This window comes from Homo sapiens, chromosome 9, assembly GCF_000001405.40.
Source record: "Homo sapiens chromosome 9, GRCh38.p14 Primary Assembly".
Classification (NCBI taxonomy): Eukaryota; Metazoa; Chordata; class Mammalia; order Primates; family Hominidae; genus Homo; species Homo sapiens.
The window spans coordinates 77291475-77312005 of record NC_000009.12 but is presented as its reverse complement, the minus strand read 5'-3'; the positions used below and the strand labels follow the sequence as shown (position 1 = coordinate 77312005).

General features: G+C 37.0%; 1 protein-coding gene across 4 annotated transcripts in view, besides 1 other annotated feature; it reads right to left on the bottom strand.

Moving 5' to 3' along the window:
- The window catches only part of VPS13A (vacuolar protein sorting 13 homolog A), a 244004-nt gene that overhangs the window by 109532 nt on the left and 113941 nt on the right, over nucleotides 1-20531 (bottom strand). For all 4 annotated transcript variants that reach the window (NM_033305.3, NM_001018037.2, NM_015186.4 and 1 more), the window contains 4 exons: nucleotides 18498-18665; nucleotides 16160-16464; nucleotides 8944-9091; nucleotides 3908-4061 (listed from right to left, as the gene is read on the bottom strand). In NM_033305.3, coding sequence (NP_150648.2) covers nucleotides 3908-4061; nucleotides 8944-9091; nucleotides 16160-16464; nucleotides 18498-18665 — 775 coding nt within the window. The remainder of the gene's footprint in view (nucleotides 1-3907; nucleotides 4062-8943; nucleotides 9092-16159; nucleotides 16465-18497; nucleotides 18666-20531) is intronic.
- Nucleotides 19979-20273: a silencer, noted in NCBI's record as "tiled region #5552; HepG2 Repressive non-DNase unmatched - State 15:Elon". NCBI's record gives its function as "represses a minimal TATA promoter and a strong SV40 promoter by Sharpr-MPRA in HepG2 cells {active_cell/tissue: HepG2}" and the evidence as "EXISTENCE:reporter gene assay evidence [ECO:0000049][PMID:27701403]".

The following is a 20531-nucleotide window of genomic DNA, read 5'->3' as shown; positions in this document are numbered from 1 at the left end:
TTAGTTGCATTCCACAAATTCTGATATATTTTATTTTCATGATCATTCAGTTCAAACAACTTCTTAATTTCCCTTGTCATTTCTTTTTGATCTATGGGTTATTTAGAAATTGTTCAAGCTTTTTCACATCCTATTGTTACTACCTTCTAATTTAATCCAATGTGGTCAGAAAATTTAATGGTCCACAAAATGGTGCATCTTTGTAAACATTCCAGGAAGTGTTTAAAAACAAAAAGGTATTCTGCAACTGAGTGTAACATTGTATTACATTAATTATGTCAATTTTGTTGACTGTGTTCAAATCTTCTATATTCTTTCCGATTTTTTTGTTCATATCTTATCATTTACCAAGAGTGGTGTGTTCAAATCCCCAACTATGATTCTGTATATGTGTATTTTCTTCTTTAGTTCTGTCAATTTTGCTGCATATATTTTAAAGTTCTGTTATTAGGTATACACACATTTAGGATTGTTGCATCTTCTTTGTGAATTGACACTTTTATCATTATTTAAAAAAAACCAGGCCTTGTAATGAGACATTTAGGAGAAAGATGAACCCTAACTGGATATTTTCATGGTCTTAAGGAAGCACTGCTAATATTTAGGGTGATGATGTTACTATATTTAAAAAGTAATGTCCTTATTGCTTATGGAAAAATAGCAATTAATGGTATAGTATCTGGGATTTGCTTTAAAATAATCTTATGGGCTGGAGGAAGAAGGGGGAAGAGCAGAGTGTGGGCAGTAACAAAGTAGCCATATGATATTAATTAGTGAAAGTGGGCCAGGCATGGTGGCTCACGCCTGTAATCCCAGCACTTTGGGAGACCGAGGCAGGGGGATCACGAGGTCAGGAGATCGAGACCATCCTGGGTAACACAGTGAAACCCCATCTCTACTAAAAATACAAAAAAGTAGCTGGGTGTGGTGGTGGGCACCTGTAGTCCCAGCTACTCAGGAGGCTGAGGCAGGAGAATGGCGTGAACCCGGGAGGCAGAGCTTGCAGTAGCCGAGATTGCACCACTACACTCCAGCCTGGGTGACATAGCGAGACTCTGTCTCAAAAAAAAAAAAAATTAGTGAAAGTGGGTGATGAGTACATGTGGGTTCATTACCTTATTCCTTCTACTTTGGTATATGTGTAAAAATTTCCAGAAGAAAACGATTAAAATGACATATTCAAACATCTATTTCTTGTTACATCAATTGCAGACATTTTCTCTCACTCTTTAAGGCTTTACTATTTGTTTCCCCTGATCCATCTTCCTCTTTACAGCTTTGGTTAGTAATGTCTTTACTTCTAAGTTATCATAGTTCATAACATTTACTTTTTTATTTACATAAGAAGTATTCCATGTGTTGTTTAACTATGACCATGTAGTATTTTTCAATGAGATTTACAGTAATACTGCCTCTGCTGCTACACTGTCACGATGAGTGCATCTCTGAAAAATAAGAGGTTCTCTTCTCACATTCTAACAATGGCTCAAAATTATGCAAAATTTAGTCCACTTCACTTCTGCACCATGGTATAGAAATTTCTTTCTTAAGCGCAGAAAACACTTTCCTGTCTGTATCAGTTATATAATATAGCTAACTCTGTATCCTACATACTATGTGGAATTCATGCTATTTTTCTTCTATAAGACATTCTTCCATATGGCTTTTTTTTTCTTTCCTTAAAGCATTCTCATTTACTTTTTAATGAAAGCCAGTTAATTTCTAGCCTATTCACATAGATAATTTGGAGATTCCTTTTCAGTGCACTCCTGAGTAGGCCTAGGTTTTTTTAACCCCATATTTTTCTGTTTCCTAGATTTCCTGACTTTCTGAAATACACTTTCAAACTAATTTCTTTTACGAATGGGTATGAAGAAGTCTAAGAAAACTGAGTCACAGGAAATCTGAGAATTATTTTCTTTTCACATTTTGGGTGATGGCTTGGCTGTGTATAGAATCTGAGCTTCAAAAACCACTTTCCTTAGAATTCTGAATAGATTCCTCCATTGTCTTCTACCATCCAGGGATTCTATTTCATCATGTTTTATTGATGATAAATAAAAAACAACAAAAATCAATCATGCAATCATTTTTTTTCTAAGTCCCTGACAGGCAGCCTTTTTTTTTTCTGAAACTTCAGAAAATCTTAGCTTTACCATTCTGACATCTCATGAAAATGTGTTTGTATGTGGAATCTTAGTTTACCCAATCTGCTGGAAACTCAGTAGATTCATTATAGCTAAGAGCTTCCTTCAATATTTACTTAGGTCTGGACAGTTTACAGCAGCTCACCCTTACCTGCACTTTCAATTACCTGTGGTCAGGTCAACTGGTGTCTGAAAATATTAAGATACTTGGAGAGACAGACCACATTCACGTAACTTTTATGACAGTATATTGTTATAATTGTTCTATTTTATTAGTTGTTCAACTCTTACTGTGCCTAATTTATAAATTCATCTTTATGATACATATGTATGTATAGGAAAAAATATAGTTTGGGTACTATCCAAACATAGGTTTGGTAATACCCAAAGTTTCAGGCATCGACGGGTCTTGGAACATATTCCCTGCAGATAAAAGGAGAGTACTATACTTCTTTAAAGAATTGCCTTCCATTTCCTCAATTATTTCTTCTGTAACACTCATTCTGGAATTGGACCTTCTGAACTAAAACATCACTCTTAAGTTTTATCACATTTTCCATCCCTGTGCTTTTTTATTCTCCGTCCTGGGAGATTGCCTCAACCAAATATTCCAACTCAATACTTCTAATTACATGTTCAGTGTTTTTGTTTCAAATTTTCAGCAATAATATTTGGATTTCCAGCAACTCTCCTATCCTTGGGTGAGCTGGTGGTGGTGGGATCCATTTCTTATATTATCTTCTCAAAATCCTCTTAGAATGTCAGAGCTTCTTTTTTGTTTGTCTACTTCCTTTTCTGTCACCTCAATTGTCTGTTTCCTTCAGAAAACATGATTCTATTTATCTTAATTTCATTCATGCTTGGGGTTTTTACAATTTTCTTCATATCTGACCATTCATATTTAACAATAAAGGACTAGTTTGATTATTCCAGCTAGTAAGGGTGGGGTTTCCTACAATGCTGTAAATGTAAAGCTGGTTTTCTGTTAGGATTCTCCCTGAGTAAAAATGCTGTGTAACACCTCAGGGCTTTGCAAAGGTGAGTCTTGTGAACTAGTAGGTTTCATTTTGAGGTAGGTAGGTCTGAGGATCCCCTATAATGCCAGAATGAGAACTTTATGCTTATGCAGCAATGTCATCCCAGCACTAACTGACCCTCTGTATGCGCTGGTGCTGAGCTCAGAAACCAGCCACATTCCACAGAGCACACTGGATCCAACATTAGATGAAGGCTCTTTCTAAGTTCTGCTTCCTTCTACTCTGTTCCATCCATCTCCCAAATATTTGTTAAACTCCACCATCTACTAATGATCATCCTCTCTTTGCACCTCTAATACTTTGATATTCCTAATATCAATATAAAAGATTCATTTGGGATATATGCCACACTAGGGATAGGGAGAAGATGGGGGAAAGGGAGAAAAATGGAAAATGAGGAGCTACAGGGAAGTCAGGAAAACATGAATATATACTGAGGAATTTTGTTACAACAGAACTAGGAACTTTCATTCAAAGAAAAAAAATCAACACAACGACTAATAACATAGACAATTTAGAGATGTCTGAATGGAATTAGCTGATTAGAAACAGATTTACAAATCTTATTTTGCCCAAACTAAACAAAAAGAAGGAAAGAAAGAAGGAAAGGAGGGAGAAAGAGGGGAGGAAGGAGGGAAAAGACAGAAGGAAGGGGAGGGAAGAAGATAGAAGAAAAAAGAGAGAAAGAGGAAAGCAGAAAGAAATTTGAAGTTAAAAACATACCTCCTGAATGGTGTGAAGCATTAGTAGTAACTCCACTAGTGGCACTGTATTGGTCTTTTGTTACAGCAGGTGAGGCACTACCATCTTTTTCATACCATATATTGCCATGCAATGTTTTAAAAATAGTTGTTATATCTTCTTGACTAAGAATGAACTGTTAAAAAAAAAAGATTTGTTCTTTTTAGCACTGCTACTTCATTGCAGAATTTAACTGCAGTTAAAATTCTCAGAGGAGAAAAATGAAAGACTGTTTCAATCCTCTACCACACCAATTAAACATTTTTACAAACTGAATATTCAGTTTTCTAAATGACCATGTGCTCTTTAGTAGCTTGTGAAATATAGAACTAAATTAGGTGTTAATACCAATGAAGTTATGAATAAAGAACTATTTGTTATTAATGTACCAAATAATATAGTAATTTTAAACCTTTAAAATGAACTTTCAGTAGTTATCTGTCTACTTTGGATTTTTTTGGTTAGTAAGCACCTCATTTTACAAATGTAGAATAAAAAATGATACATTTGGTTTACCAAAAATTTTAGAGTTCACAATGTGTTTTACATGAACTATTTTATTTGAACCTCGAAAAAGTCCTAGGTCTATGGAATATGATCCTGAAATGTATTTATTTAGTTAGGTAGTTAGTGAATGGGTCTCATTCTGTCACCCAGGCTGGCATGCAGTGGTGCAATCCTAGCTCACTGCAGCCTCAAACTCCTGGGCTCAACCTCTGACCTCAGCCTCCCAAGAAACTGGGATTACAATCATGTACCAACATGCCCAGCTAATGCAATCCTGATATTTATATTTATAAGACACTGAAGCTAAATGGTTAATATGCTTAGGTCCACACATAAACTAGGAACTAACTCAAAGAGCTAATAATTTCAGGCCAGGTGTGATGGGTCACGCCTGTAAGCCCAGCACTCTGGGAGGCTGAGGCAGGCAGATCACTTGAGGCCAGGAGTTAAGAGAACAGCCCAGCCAACACGGTGAAACCCCGACTCTACCGAAAATACAAAAATTAGCCAGGCATAGTGCACACCTGTAATCCCAGCTACTCAGGTGGCTGAAGCAGGAGAATTGTTTGAACCTGGGAAGCAGAGAGTGCAGTGAGCCGAGATCGCGCCACTGCCCTCCAGCCTGGGCAACAGAGACTCTGTCTCAAAAAAAAAAAAAAAAAATAAAGAGCCAATTTCAAATCCTAGCTGTTACAAATTTAGTCCCAAATCAACAGCATAAGACCTGCCTTAATAGCTGTGATGGTTAATTTTGTATGTCACTTTGGCTCAGTCACAGTACCTAGGTATGTGGTCAAACATAAAATGTTTCCGTGAAAATATTTTTTAGATGAAATTAATATTTAAATCTCTAGACTCTAGGTAAATCAGATTACACTCCATAATGTAGGTGGACCTCATCCAATTGCTTTGTATTGAAGTTGGAGGCCTTCAATAAAAAAAGACTGACCTCCTCTAAGCAAGAATTCTGCCAGCAGACTGCCTTCAGACTCGAGCTCCAACACTACCTCTTCCCTGGATATCCTTCCTGCTGGCCTACCCTGTAGACTGACTTTGAACTTGGTGGCATCCGCAATCATGTACACCAATTCCTTAAAATAAGTCTCTCCCTTTTCCCTCTCTTTACACACACACACACACACACACACACACACACACAAACACACACACACTCTCTCTCTCTCTCTCTGGAGAACCCTAACACAACAGAAATAATGTAAAAAAGATCTTTGAGTTTGGCTCACTTCTAAGTTTGTCAAAACAACAAAAAGAATTTTTAGCTGTTATGACCCCAAGGAGATAATTTGAATCCCACAATATTTAACAAGTTTTACTTGTAACCAAGCTTTCTTTGACTGCATTTCAAAGATGACACACTAATTTAGTGTTTTAAAATTAAGTCCATGTGTACCTTATACATACTACTAATGTTTGGGGTTTTTTTTAAGCTTTCATTCCTTCATTCTTTATTCATGACACTTAGTTTGTAACTATGTAGCAGACACTGCAAAAAGAGTTCATATAATAAGATGAAAATAAATATTACAACTTCTAAACCATGTCTTCCAGTTAGTATCTGTCTATCGCATGCACCTCAAATACTGATTATTAATTGGCACTCTTCCTTCACTTTTGCCAGGAGCTCAGTGGAGGAAGTTCAAAGAACTGTAAGGATCCTGGGGCTGCTGATCTGCAGTATCTACATGTCAGGACAGGCTGTGTATGCAACCACTGAAAATCTGACAAGTCAGAAATCACAAGCTGCTCCACTTGGTCTGGATGCATTAGACTAAATGATTTCACAACCAATTCTAGCCTCTCCCTGGCACAGAAGATGAGGCCCAGGAGAGAACAAATATCTGGGCTCTGGGGTGAGCTGCAACAGCAGCTAACCAACTACTCAGGTGAATTAGAGTAAGGGAAGCCCCAACTTTACCCTAGAGGGTTGGCCTCAAAAGGCAGCTGGGCACTTGCAGATTGTTGGCAGCATCACCAGGACATTCTGTATGGATTCTACCTGGGAAGAGCATGAGAAAGCAGTGTCTTTGCTGCCCCACACAAATATGCCTAATAACTGGGCCCAGTGGGATAGCAACTGCCCCAGCATGTTGGGTGGAACATAATATTTATGTTTTATAAGTTTCTATATGTTTTATGAGTTTCTATCTGTTATCTTACCAATATAAATAGACTTCAAATATTTATCTTAAAAAGATAACTTCCATCTCCTACCCTGTAAGTTAAAGCAGCCATTATTATCTTACACACTAAGATTTTCATAATGCCATCATGTTTTATGCTCTGAATATACGTTTGACTTAAAAGTCTGAAATCTCGGCCAGGCGTGATGGCTCACGCCTGTAATCCCAGCACTTTGGGAGGCCAAGGGGGGTGGATCACGAGGTCAGGAGATCAAGACCATCCTGGCTAACACGGTGAAATCCCGTCTCTACTACAAACACAAAAAATTAGCCGGGCGCGGTGGCGGATGCCTGTAGTCCCAGCTATTCGGGAGGCTGAGGCAGGAGAATGGCGTGAACCCCAGAGGCGGAGCTTGCAGTGAGCTGAGATTGCACCACTGCACTCCAGCCTGGGCAACAGAGCGAGACTCCATCTCAAAAAAAAAAAAAAGAAAAAAAGTCTGAAATCTCTAAAATGATGGTTTTCTCATAATCAATAAAATTTTTACAGAAAGAAATAGAAAGGGAAACTGTGAGGTGGGGAGAAGGATTTGTTAAGTAGGTTTCTTAAAGAAACCTCCCAGAGCATATGTTGCTATCACTTCAGCAAAGCCTATGACACACTTTTGACTTTCATCCAGTCAAGGGAAAAAAATATGAACTTGTGGGCAGTTCCATGAGAGATCTTTGAAGCAATGTCAACCAATAAGAAAGTAAAACTAAGGTGGTGACACATTTGCCATTTTCATTTTCAACTTATGAATTCTTCTAATACTTTCTCTTCCTTTGTATAGATTATTTCATATATTTCCATGGCTTTAAATGCCATCTATATGCTGGTGACACCAAAATTAGTATTTCTAACCTAGATCTTTCCAATAAATTCTATATTAATATATCTAATTGACTACAGCACCATGCCTATTATTTGTGTCCTTCATTGTAGGGAAAAGAAAGAGAGATCAGACTGTTACTGTGCCTATGTAGAAAGGGAAGACATAAGAGACTCCATTTTGAAAAAGACCTGTACTTTAAACAATTACTTTGCAGAGATGTTGTTAATTTGTAGCTTTGCCCCAGCCACTTTGACCCAGCCACTTTGACCCAACCTGGAGCTCACAAAAACATGTGTTGTATGAAATCAAGGTTTAAGGGATCTAGGGCTGTGCAGGACGTGCCTTGTTAACAAAATGTTTACAAGCAGTATACTTGGTAAAAGTCATTGCCATTCTCTAGTCTCAATAAACCTGGGGCACAATGCACTGTGGAAAGCCGCAGGGACCTCTGCCCTTGAAAGCCGGGTATTGTCCAAGGTTTCTCCCCATATGATAGTCTGAAATATGGCCTCGTGGGATGAGAAAGACCTGACCGTCCCCCAGTCCGACACTCGTAAAGGGTCTGTGCTGAGGTGGATTAGTAAAAGAGGAAAGCCTCTTGCAGTTGAGATAGAGGAAGGCCACTGTCTCCTGCCTGCCCCTGGTAACTGAATGTCTCGGTATAAAACCCAATTGTACATTTGTTCAATTCTGAGATAGGAGAAAAACCGCCCTATGGTGGGAGGCGAGACATGTTTGCAGTAATGCTGCTTTGTTATTCTTTACTCCACTGAGATGTTTGGGTGGAGAGAAACATAAATCTGGCTTACGTGCACGTCCACTCATGGTACCTTCCCTTGAACTTAATTATGACATAGATTCTTTTGCTCACACGTTTTTTGCTGACCTTCTCCTTATTACCACCCTGCTTTCCTACTACATTCCTTTTTGCTGAAATAATGAAAATAATAATCAATAAAAACTGACGGAACTCAGAGGCCGGTGCCAGTGCAGGTCCTTGGTGTGCTGAGTGCTGGTCCCCTGGGTCCACTGTTGTTTCTCTATACTTTGTCTCTGTGTCTTATTTCTTTTCTCAGTCTCTCATCCCACCCGACTAGAAATACCCACAGGTGTGGAGGTGCAGGCCACCCCTTCACTTCATTAAATTTACCACAATTTATAACTATTTTAATTATGTGTCTGATTACTTTTTTACTATCTAACTACTACTATACCTTCCAGATCACCATCACCACCAACCCCTGCATTAGACTGGCAAGTTCCATGAAGTCAGAGACAATGTCATTGCTTCCTTGCCACTTTATCTCCAGTAATATTTGTTAAAAGAATAAATCAAGACCATTTTAAAATGAATTCTAGTTTAATATAATCACTATTTCAATTCTGACCAAGGTGATTATGTATATACAAATTCCACTCAAATGATGCCTTATGTCCCCAAGCAGTATTTTTCAACAAGCAAAACAAAAATTGATAAGTATCCAAAAAAAGTTACCTCCATTGGTTTCAGCTGAGCATTTACATTAAAACAAGGAACTTCCTGGTACCACTCCCAGCATAAATTTCGTTCAACCACAACCTCAAGATTTAATGGCAGGAGTAGATCCAGTACTTCCTGGTATGCATCATTAATAAATCGAGATCTATAAGTAGAGATAACATTCTTTTAAATTGTTTCATATACATTCAGGTAGTTAAAAAAAGATTAACTTAAATTTATCCTTTTATATGCAAATAGCAGAAATCAATAATTTGTTGGGTATAAAGGGAAAATATCTATCAGACTTTTTTTTTATCTGTCAAAATGAGTTGAGTGATGTTCTATCCCACTAGAAACCTGGGTGACTTACACTGAGCTGAGTGTTCTATATTATACAGAAATAGAGCTACGCACAGTAGCTTACACCTGTAATCCCAGCACTTTTGAGAGGCTGAGGCGGGCAGATCACTTGAGGTTAGGAGTTTGAGACCAGCCTGGCCAACATGGTGAAACCCCATCTCTACTAAAAATACAAAAATTAGCTGGCCGTGGTGGCATGCGCCTGTAGTCCCAGCTTCTTAGGAGGCTGAGGTGGGAGAATTGCTTGAACCTGGGAGGTGGAGGTTGCAGTGAGCCGAGATCGCACCACTGCACTCCAGCCTGGTCAACAGAGCAAGACTCTGTCTCCAAAAAAAAAAAAAAAAAAAAAGGGGAAAAATATGTATTTTTCGATACAATTTTGGAATATGGTAAAAAGTGCAAAAGTATATAAGTTGTAAGTTGTATAGTAAACCATTAAAATAAGAATTATCTCTATGTAGGCCAGGAGTGGTGGCTCATGCTTGTAATCCCAGCACTTTGGGAGGCCAAAGCGGGTGGATCACCTGAGGTCAGGAGTTCGAGATCAGCCTGGCCAACATGGTGAAATCCCATCTCTACTAAAAATACAAAAAGTAACCAGGCGTGGTGGTGGGCACCTGTAATCCCAGCTACTTGAGAGGCTGAGGCAGAAGAATCACTTGAACCCAGGAGGCGGAGGTTGCATTGAACCAAGATCATGCCATTGCTCTCCAGCCTGGGCAACAAGAGTAAAACACTGTCTCGGGAAAAAAAAAAAAAATATCTCTATGTAATTTGTAAACAAACATTATATAAGACATCATTATAAAAACATTTTAACTCACTGATTTAGGTAAGTAACAGAATATCACATATTCCCTTACTTTATAAAAAATAAGTAGCACCATATGCAATTTTTATTTCTATGAGTTAAAATAGCTGAATACATACAATTTAAATTGAACTATATTTGCCTTTCCAAGCACTTATAAAGGTAAGACTGATGCTCAGGAATGAAGAAAAATGTAGGTCAATTGAACCCCTTCAAGTAACAATGTGACCATAGAAGCCTCCCATTGTACCTCAAAGTGACAATCTCAAAGTGTTACTCCTCAATAATGTACTTATATTTTAATTAGCAGCAAATCCTTAAACTAAGATATAACACCATGACTGTAGAATTTTGGCAATCATTTAATCAATAGGAGAGAAATATGAGAGTTCATCAGGGATCTCCCAAAATGCCTTGTACCAAGCCATTTAATGAATGAATGATAGAGTGACACCAAACTTACATATGCCTGCATGCTTGCAGTCTCCGCTTAATGGTAATAGGTTAAGGAATCTAAAAGCCCCATAGGGAATGCTGCACACATAGGTTTTCTTTTCTTTTTTTCAGTTAGGCTAGGATGCATATATAATTTTAATAGCCATATCAGAATAAATGGCTATACTAGTATTTTAATTAACCTTCTATGATTAAAATTTCATATTTTCCAATTCTTCACCATAATAAATACTTGTATTTTATATATCTATATCTATATCTTCATCTATATATCTTTGAGTAAATTTCTGTCCTTTGGACAAACTATGAGAAAGAAAACTGTTATGTCAAAAGATTACTTTCTCTGGAAAAACTTTTCTTATCAGTACTACCCAATATATGGATAAAATACACCTTTCCTACGTGCTCCCACATGCACCTTATACTTTTTCCATCACTGCATTTAATATATTGCATTTTAATAGTTTATTATGTCCTCTATATTTTTAATTAGAATGAAAGCTTCATGAGGGCAGGAACTATGTTCATCTTATTCTTTGCTTTTTGTCAGTACTTAGATGATTGGCATGTGCCATATAATGAATAAATATTTGCTAAATTGCAGTCAAGTTGGATTAATGTATAAAGAACCTAGTCACAAACATGAATTCCTATTTTTCTTTATGCACTTTCTAAGAAGTTGTAACTAAACTGCATTTTCTGGGGTTTGGTTTGTTTTTTTGAGACAGTCTCATTTTGTCATCCAGGCCGGAATGCAGTGGCATTAACACAGGTCACTGCAGTCTCAATCTTCCAGGCTCAAGTGATTCTCCTGCCTCAGTCCCATAAGTATCTGGGATGACAGGCATATGCCACCACACACAGCTAATTTTTGTATTTTTTGTGGAGATGGGGTTTCACCGTGTTTCCCAGGCTGGTCTCAGACTCCTGAGCTCAAGCAATCTGCCATCCTCAACCTCCCAAAGTGCTGGGTTTACAGGCGTAAGCCAACGTGCCCAGCAACTGCATTTTCAATTATCAATTATTTTAAAATTATTTCAGGAAAAACTGGCTACACTCTATAACTGAGTAATTCTATTTCTAGGAACTCATCCTCAGGAAATGAATTATCCCAAAGAAATGAGTAGACAATTACAAAAGTACTGATGTAATAAAGATATCAATCATCAATATAGTGTTATTTATAATAGCAAAACTGTATATATATTAGAATCAAATTTCTAACAAAAGGCAGATTTAGATTTTCTAAAAACAGGAATATTTGGAAAAATTTATGCACTCAAAATAATGACATGAAAACTTACAGCATATTATTAAGAAAAAAGCTATTTACAGCACAAAACAATATAATTCTAATTTTTTTTATACTAGTTCTGGGATACATGTGCAGAATGTGCAGGTTTGTTACATTGTTACACATGTGGCATGGTGGTTTGCTGCACCCATCAACCCGTCATCTAGATTTTAAGCTCCACATACATTAATTATTTGTCCTAATGCTATCCTTCCCCTTGCCTCCCACCCCAACAGGCCCCGCTGTGTGATGTTCCCCCTCCTGTGTCCATATGTTCTCACTGTTCAACTCCCACTTATGAGTGAGAACATGTGGTGGTATTTGGTTTTCTGTTCCCGTGTTAGTTTGTTGAGAATGATGGTTTCCAGCTTCATCCATGTCCCAACAAAGGACATGAACTCATTCTTTTTTATGGCTGCATAGCATTCCATGGTGTATATGTGCCACATTTTCTTTATTCATGCTGTCATTGATGAGCATTTGGGTTGGTTCCAAGCATTTGCTATTGTGAACAGTATTGCAATAAACATACGTGTGCATGTGTCTTTACAGGAGAATGATTCATAATCCGTTGGGTATATACCCAATAATGGGATGGCTGGGTCAAATGGTATTTCTGGTTCTAGATCCTTGAGGAATCGCCACACTGTTTTCCACAATGGTTGCACTAATTTACACGCACACCAACAGTGTAAAAGTGTTCCTATTTCTCCACATCCTCTCCAGCATCTGTTGTTTCCTGACTTTTTAATGATTGCCATTCTAACTGGTGTGAGATGGTATCTCACTGTGGTAAATGGCCATACTGCCCAAAGTAATTTATAGATTCAATGCTATTCACATCAAGCTACCACTGACTTTCTTCACAGAATTAGAAAAAACTACTTCAAATTTCATATGGAACCAAAAAAGAGCCCGTATAGCCAAGACAATCCTAAGCAAAAAGAACAAAGCTGGAGGCATCACACTACCTGACTTCAAACTATACTACAAGGCTACAGTAACCAAAACAGCATAGTACTGTTACCAAAACGGATATATAGACCAATGGAAAAGAACAGAGGCCTCAGAAATAACACCACGCATCTACAACCATCTGATCTTTGACAAACCTGAAAAAACAAGCAATGGGGAAAGGATTCCCTATTTAATAAATAGTGTTGGGAAAACTGGCTAGCCATTTGCAGAAAACTGAAACTGGACCCCTTCCTCACAAGCATGGCAGAAAGTAAAGGAGACACAGCGGCACATCTTACACAGCGGCAGGCAAAAAGAGGATGAGAGCCAAGTCAAAGGGGTTTCCCCTTTTAAAACCATCAGAGTTCGTGAGACTTATTAACTATCATGAGAACAGTATGGGGGAACCACCCTCATGATTCAATTATCTCCCACCAGGTCCCTCCCACAACATGTGGGAATTATGGGAGCTGCAATTCAAGATGAGATTTGGGTGGGGACATGGCCAAACTATATCACCTCTCTATTATCCATCAACATGATTCTCAATCATTAAAATCCTGTTCCACTACCTTCGGTCACACTTGCTTGGCAAAAAATTCAGTTTTGTCTCAATCCAACTGACTGTTGGATTCCAAATACAAAATACCAAGTACTGCATGAAAAAAAAATGATACACTATTAATTCATGGTTAACAATATCAGCAGGACCCTCACTGCTGCCTCAAATACATTTTCCTGGCTTCTCATCTCTCTGTCTGCTCCTACTTCGTCTCTTTTGAGGGTTCCTCTTTCTGTCAATTATTTAAACACTGGTATTCCTCAGCATTCTTCTTCATATGTCCCACTCTACAAGCTTTCTTTGTGACTGTGCTCATTCCAAAGGCTTCAGTGACTAGCACAAATTATTACTAAGAACTCCTAAACCTAGAAGTCTAAACAACATCACCTATGTGCATCACCTAGGCACATATATTCCACTGCCTTCTGGATTTCTTTCAAGATCTCTCCATGTAGAAGTCATGCAACCACTTTCAGGCTACTTTGCCCATTAGAGAAATAATTACTATCTCTATTCTACTGGGTTTTTCTGCATTGTTCTGTCTTATCTCAGTGAAGTGTATCATCATCAAACGCTGATTTCCAAGCCTGTAACCTAAAGTGAATTTTAATTTCTCTTCTCCTTTAACTCCCACACCCATTCAACCATCAGTTACTATAAATTCTGGTTAGCTCTCCACTACTTCACTCCCTTACCTTAGACTAAGTCACCTATAATTCTTATGTGAATTACTGCAATAGTTACCAAATTATCCTTCCAACCTCTAGTTTTGTCTCCTTTTGACCTAATTTCTAGAACCTTTTCAAAATGTGATCCCATTTTATGCACCAGCCCACTATATTTATTAAACAGTACCTACCACAACAACCCAATGAGGTAGGGATTACTTATTAATCCCTTATAAAGATTGCTCACTATTATATTTCTTATTCTTAGCACAATGCCTGGGATAGATTTGGTGCTTAATAAATGCTCAAGTGACAGAAATTTCTCCTTCCATCTAGGATGGAGTAACATGAATGGTTTAACACTCCTGCTTGAAACAACCCTGCCCCCCCAAAAAAAAGACAGACAAAATTGACTTAAAAATAGTTTTCAAGACACAAGACATCAAAAATGGATAGTGATTCCAAAGAGTTGGAAAAAAAAATGAGGTGAGCCCTACGATTGTCCCAGTTTACTATTGTTTTACCATAATTAACAGGCCATGGTACAGGGAGGGGGGACCCAGGGGAAGGCCAGGAAAGCCCCAGAGTAGAGAAGATAAGAGCTGAGAGTCCAAGAGAAACCAAGGTAGCTAGTTTATATGATAAAATACCAGAGAGAAGAGAGCTACACAGACTTATAGAGTAACTTAAAATTCATAGCACAATATTATAAAGTACTCCAATTTATAGCACGTCATATATTAGAAAAGAAGAAATGTTTCAAATCAATAATCTTAGCTATCACCTAAAAAAACTTATAAAAAGAGCAAAATTGAACCTAAAGTAAGCAGAATAATAAATATTGAATCAGAAATCAATGAATGAGAAAACAAAAAAAGAAAAAAAAATAAAACCAAAAACTGCTTAAGATCAATAAAACGGATAAATCGCTAACCAGATTGATCAGTACAAAGGCAGAAATTATAAATATCAGGAATGAGGGAGGACACATCATTACAGATATTAATAAATAAGGAGCATTATGAAAATCTTTATGCCATTAAATTTTACAACTTAGATGAAATGGATAAATTCTTTTAAGAAATTAGGGAGGATCGCTCAAGAAAAAATAACTTGAATAGCCCCAAATTTATTAAAGAAATGAAAACTATCATTTAAAAATCTCCCACAAGCAAACTCTAAGACGAGATGGCTTCGCTGGTAAATTCTACCTAATACTTAAGGAAGAAGTAATACAACTGTACATAAACTGTCAGAAATGTATGCATATCAAAACTTATAAAATGGTATAACATTAAAGATATGCAACTTATTCTGTGTCAATTATGTCTCAATAAAGCTGCTTTAAAAATATACAATTGATCAAAGAAAGCACAGGAGGGAAAGACAGACTCATAGGAAGCTAAAGAGAAGTAGAGAATGGGAGTTAGTTAAGTAAAAAATGAGACAAAAATAAGGTGAAGAGACAAGCAAGAGAATTATATCAAAGAAAAATGACAGAAAGAAGGAAGAGGGCAGTTGAGAAGTATAAATAGAGAAGGATTCAAGTTGGAAAATAGGGCATAAATTCAGAATGGGCAATTAGAAATAGCACAGAAACACAGAGGACACAGTATAAAAGCTCTCGAACTATTTGAACATTTGGTTATCCGCCTAATTCCTAACCCTATGCTTAACGAATACAGGTTAACGAATAAGGTTGTATGCTACTGCATGTTCGTTTAAATTACAGCATCAGAGCCACAGCAACAACCGACAGAGAAGATAAGATGATAATGTATTTGCAAAGTGAATAAACATATTACATTAGAAATTCCTCATTTTTTCCATAGCCATGTAATTTATAATGAACCACAAAAAAGCACAAATATACTTCCTCAGATAATAAATTTTATAGTTTTCCTAATTACCTAAGGAGAAATTTTCAAACACTTTCTAGGTTTTTTAAAATGCAAAGACTATAATTGATTTTGCCAAAATATACTTAAGGAAGAGAGAATCACTAAGTTATGTATAATTAATAAAATAAAATCTCACTGTAAACAGACTACTCAAGACATCAAAGTCTTTAAAAAGTTAGAAAAATATTGCATTCCACACAAATATACTTGTGAAAAGCTTACCTGTATAGTCGCATTTCACTCAGCTTTATTGTTATCAAATCAATAACAGGTGGGGGAGAGCTCTGGCTCTCTGTTATCATATGAAAGGTATTTGTCATTGTAATTAGTCCAAAATCAGCAACAAAAACATTTTCAGAAACTGGAGACTGCGGGATGACCACAACTGGGGCTTTGATGTTAATATCCAGTGCCATTCTGGAACTCCTTTGTGCGAGTTCTTTTACACCAGTAGCAGCCATTCCAGCTGCCTGAACAGTTGCCTCAGCCAAGGCTTGTTTAGCTGCCTGAAAATTATCTATAAAAGCCTGTAAGATAACAGAATTATATTCTTAAGGTTATTAATAAATACGACTTATTAAATATATATTGATATTTATGGTTTTACCTCCATTTAAAAAAAAACTTTTACTTGATACAACCAAGCATTATTTATTCAAAATCTTACTGTCTATATTAAATCTTAATTTTCTGCCACAAAAACTGAGAAACACAAAGACACAGATAAAATAAAAATCTAGTCCTCAGAACAAAGCTAAATGGGATCACTGGAATGTCTTACAGATATCTACTTCCCTTATCTCACTTTCCCTAATGAAAAACAACCCTATTTCTCTATACAACCTCAGTGGACAGAGAGCTTATTTATATTTGTAAGGTAAATAAATAAATAAAATATGTTTAAGAAGTTTCAAAATAATTTTCCAATTTCCAAATTCCAAAAAAAAACTTCAATGACATAAAATATAATTATCTATATTTATACTCTTATACCTAATTTTCATGTTCAAAGAAAAAATTAACATTTTAGTAATTTCTAAGTATAAGTACAAGAGGGCTCAAGTGACATGATTTTTTTGGTTATAAAAATAAATTAGCTACTTAAGAGGCTGAGGTAGTAGGATAACATGGGGCCAGTAGTTCTAGACCAGTTTGGGCAATACAGCGAGATCGTGTCTTAAAAAAAAAATTAAAAATAAAAAATTAGCAGGGCCTGTTGTCCCTACTAATTTAATCTACTTGGGAGGCTGAGATGGGATTTGCTTGTGCCCATGAGTTTGAGGCTGCAGTGAGCTAGGAGCACGCCACTGCACTCCAGTCTGGGCTGCAGAGCAAGAACCCAACTCTAATTTTTTTTAAAAGAGAAGAAATTCAACAAGGAATACTTGTTTATCTTTACATTTTTGTGTACAAAATGATGTTATGGCTTAAAAGATCACAAAACAGCAACATTATATGGAATTAACTTAGAATTTTGAAATAACAAAAGAGGGCTCCACATTCCCAAATACATTCAAATGAACACGCAAATACTTTTCTTGCTTATAAGAATTGCCACACTTGGCCTATTTATTCCACTACAGCCTTAGATTTGATTACCTAGTTCATACACTAAAACACTGAGACAGCATTTTAAAAGAATGAATAGTGATGTTATGGAGATAGGTGTGACACCCACAGGAAAAAATATCAGCTGACAGCAAGGGAAAAACAAAAACCGAAACAAAATGAAACAAGAAAAGCCGAAATAAGAACCGAAATGCCTTAGGGTGGAGTCATATAGGGGTTAAATCTAACTCCTTAAAGTCCCTGATATTCACAGAATGACAATGCAATCGAAAATATGATTTTCTTGGGCCAGACATAATGCCTGTAATCTCAGCGCTTTGGGAGGCCAAAGCAGGAGGATCACTTGAGGCCAGGAGTTCAAGACCAGACTGGGCAACAGAGTAAGACCCCATCTCTATAAAAACTTGAAGAAAAAAAAAATTAGCTTGGTGGTATGTGCATGGTGATATGTGCCTGTAGTCTCAGCTACTCAGGAGGTTGGGGCGGGAGGATCACTTGAATCCAGGAGTTCAAGGTTACAATGAGCTACGATCATGCCACTACACTCCAGCCTGGGTGACAGAGCAAGACCTTGTCTCTAGAAAATTAAAATAACCTTTTCTTAATGATGACTTCAGACCAAAACAAACTTCAATTATATATTCAGTATTTTTAAATTATAGTTGCAAGTCAGGTAAAACGAAGACTTAAGCCAATGACATATAAAACGAAGGTTCTAATTAATATATAACATATTTATGATATATAATGCACATAAACTTAATGTTACTATATGAAATATATATTTCAATTAATTAGAATATTCCTATGTCAAAACGATGTTATATAAATAAGGAACTACACATTTATTATGTATAATAAATGGTACCCAGAAGATTTAAAAAATCAGAAAAAATCTCAAGCAAGGAATTCTTACTAGTCTTCATCCATATTTGACATATAGCAATTTCCAATTAGTATAAAATAAATAATAATTTAATAAAATACTTACCAATATAGAATATAGAAATTTCGTGACAAAAACTACTTCAATGCAACCAACTATTAAATTAACCTGAATGTCAACCACATTCATATCTGTGTATGCAGAACCAGCAGTTGCATCCATGTAAGAAACCATTTTGAAGCTGAAAACTTCTTTTCCAGTGATATAAACAGCCTTAATAAGAGAAAATTTAATTATCACAATCCATTTTTGAAATGATGTATTTTCAGTACAAAAATAAAACAGTAAAAAATAACAAAACATAGTTAGAAAATCTCCCAAGTATTCACAAGCCAAGTACAAATGAGGCAACAATTCTACTGTAACTGGTTTATTGGAACCTACACTACAAACTTTTACAAATTGGTGGTGGCAATTTCCTTTGTGGGTCATAAAATCAAGGTAGTAGGTGTGGCTCCAGCTTTTTTTCTTTTTTTTTTAATGGAGAAGAGGAAATATCTGAATATGCATTTTCATTTTGCAAGTATACTTTCGTAATGAGAGTAACCATGTATTTCTTGATTGACTGACAAAAATTTGAAAAACACTGTATATCTACACCTTACTGAAATCTATTCCTGATTTGAGGTATGTGAATAGATTTTTCTGGATTCTTCAAAGGAGTCTCCTCCTATTGCTATACTTCTGTTCCTTATCAGATTGTAAAGGGCCATCTTAATTGCCAACCAGAAATTACCTACAGTGGTTAAAAATCTCAAGCTCTGCAATAACAGTTAAAAATGGTGGCGACAACAGGAGATGTAAAATGTTAAAAAAAATTTTGGAAGAGGGACAGAGCACTAAGCTCATAACTTTCTCAATTCTCCTAAATGCTAGAAGCAAGCAAGAACAGGGAGCTGAAGAGCCATCAACAAGCAAATCAGTTACAACTACAGAACAAAGAATCCTCCAGAACCAGAGGTATAAGTGACCTCCGAAGGCTGAGGTACAAGACAGGGCTGAAAAGAAGTCTACAGTCCTGCTTCTGCCTAGGGTGCACAAAGCTGGAGTGAGGGCCCCTCCAAACCTTAAGAAAAGGAAAAAAAACCCGATAAACTATGATATCATAACTTTCTTAAAACCATTAGCAATCTGAGGTCACAGGACAACAAAGATCCCTAAAAATCTAAGGACAAACAGGTACCTTCAGGGAGAGAGAGAAAATAAGCACCAGCTCACTTGTGGTAGAGAGGAGAAAGAGATGTCAGATACTATACAATATAGGTAAGAATAATTCAGCTAAAATGATAAAGGATAAGTGTGGACTAATGTGAGATGCAGAATCCCTGAGAGCCACACACGTGAGGAGCTCTTGAGAAAGACGGGAGATGGGTGCAAGTGGGAAACAAGAGAAGGCTTTCCTTGGTATGACCCTGGAAAAGGTGAGGAGCCTCCACTGCAGAAAAGGCCCAAAGCACCACCAAGATTATCAACTACTCAAAACAATAGCCATAAGAAACTAGGGGAAGGGCAGTAAACCTTGTTTCCCTCAGGGCACAGGTGAAGATACAGTATCCTAGGGACAAGAATAAAATAAAACTCTAGGGGAAGAACAAGAACTCTCCTGGGGCCAGATGATTAGAGGTCTCCCTCTGCTGGGGAAGGGAAGGATAGTCAATCCCACATAGGAAATACGAGAGATATCAATCAGATGCCATGAGGAGGAGGGGCAGGATGGCCAAGAATACTCCATTTCTGAGACTCACAGAAACAGCCCTGGCTAGGAGTGAAAATGGACAAGAACACTAACAAGCCTATCCAAACCACCTTGCCTTCTCCCCAAATACATCAAGCTCACAAGCACTAAGAAACAAGCAGCAGGAGCCTCTAACATCTAGGAAAGAGCTAAGAATGTGGAAAGAGAATTTTCTGAGGTACAAGAGTAGAAGAAAGGTCAAAGGCTCAGCACGGAGCAAAATCTGAGCAACACAGCCTCCAGCCACCCTAAGCACAAGGTACAACTAAAGGAAACTGAAGCAGTAATGTAGTGAAGGAAATCGTATTAATCTGGAATTCAAACCAACCTAAGCTCAACCCCCC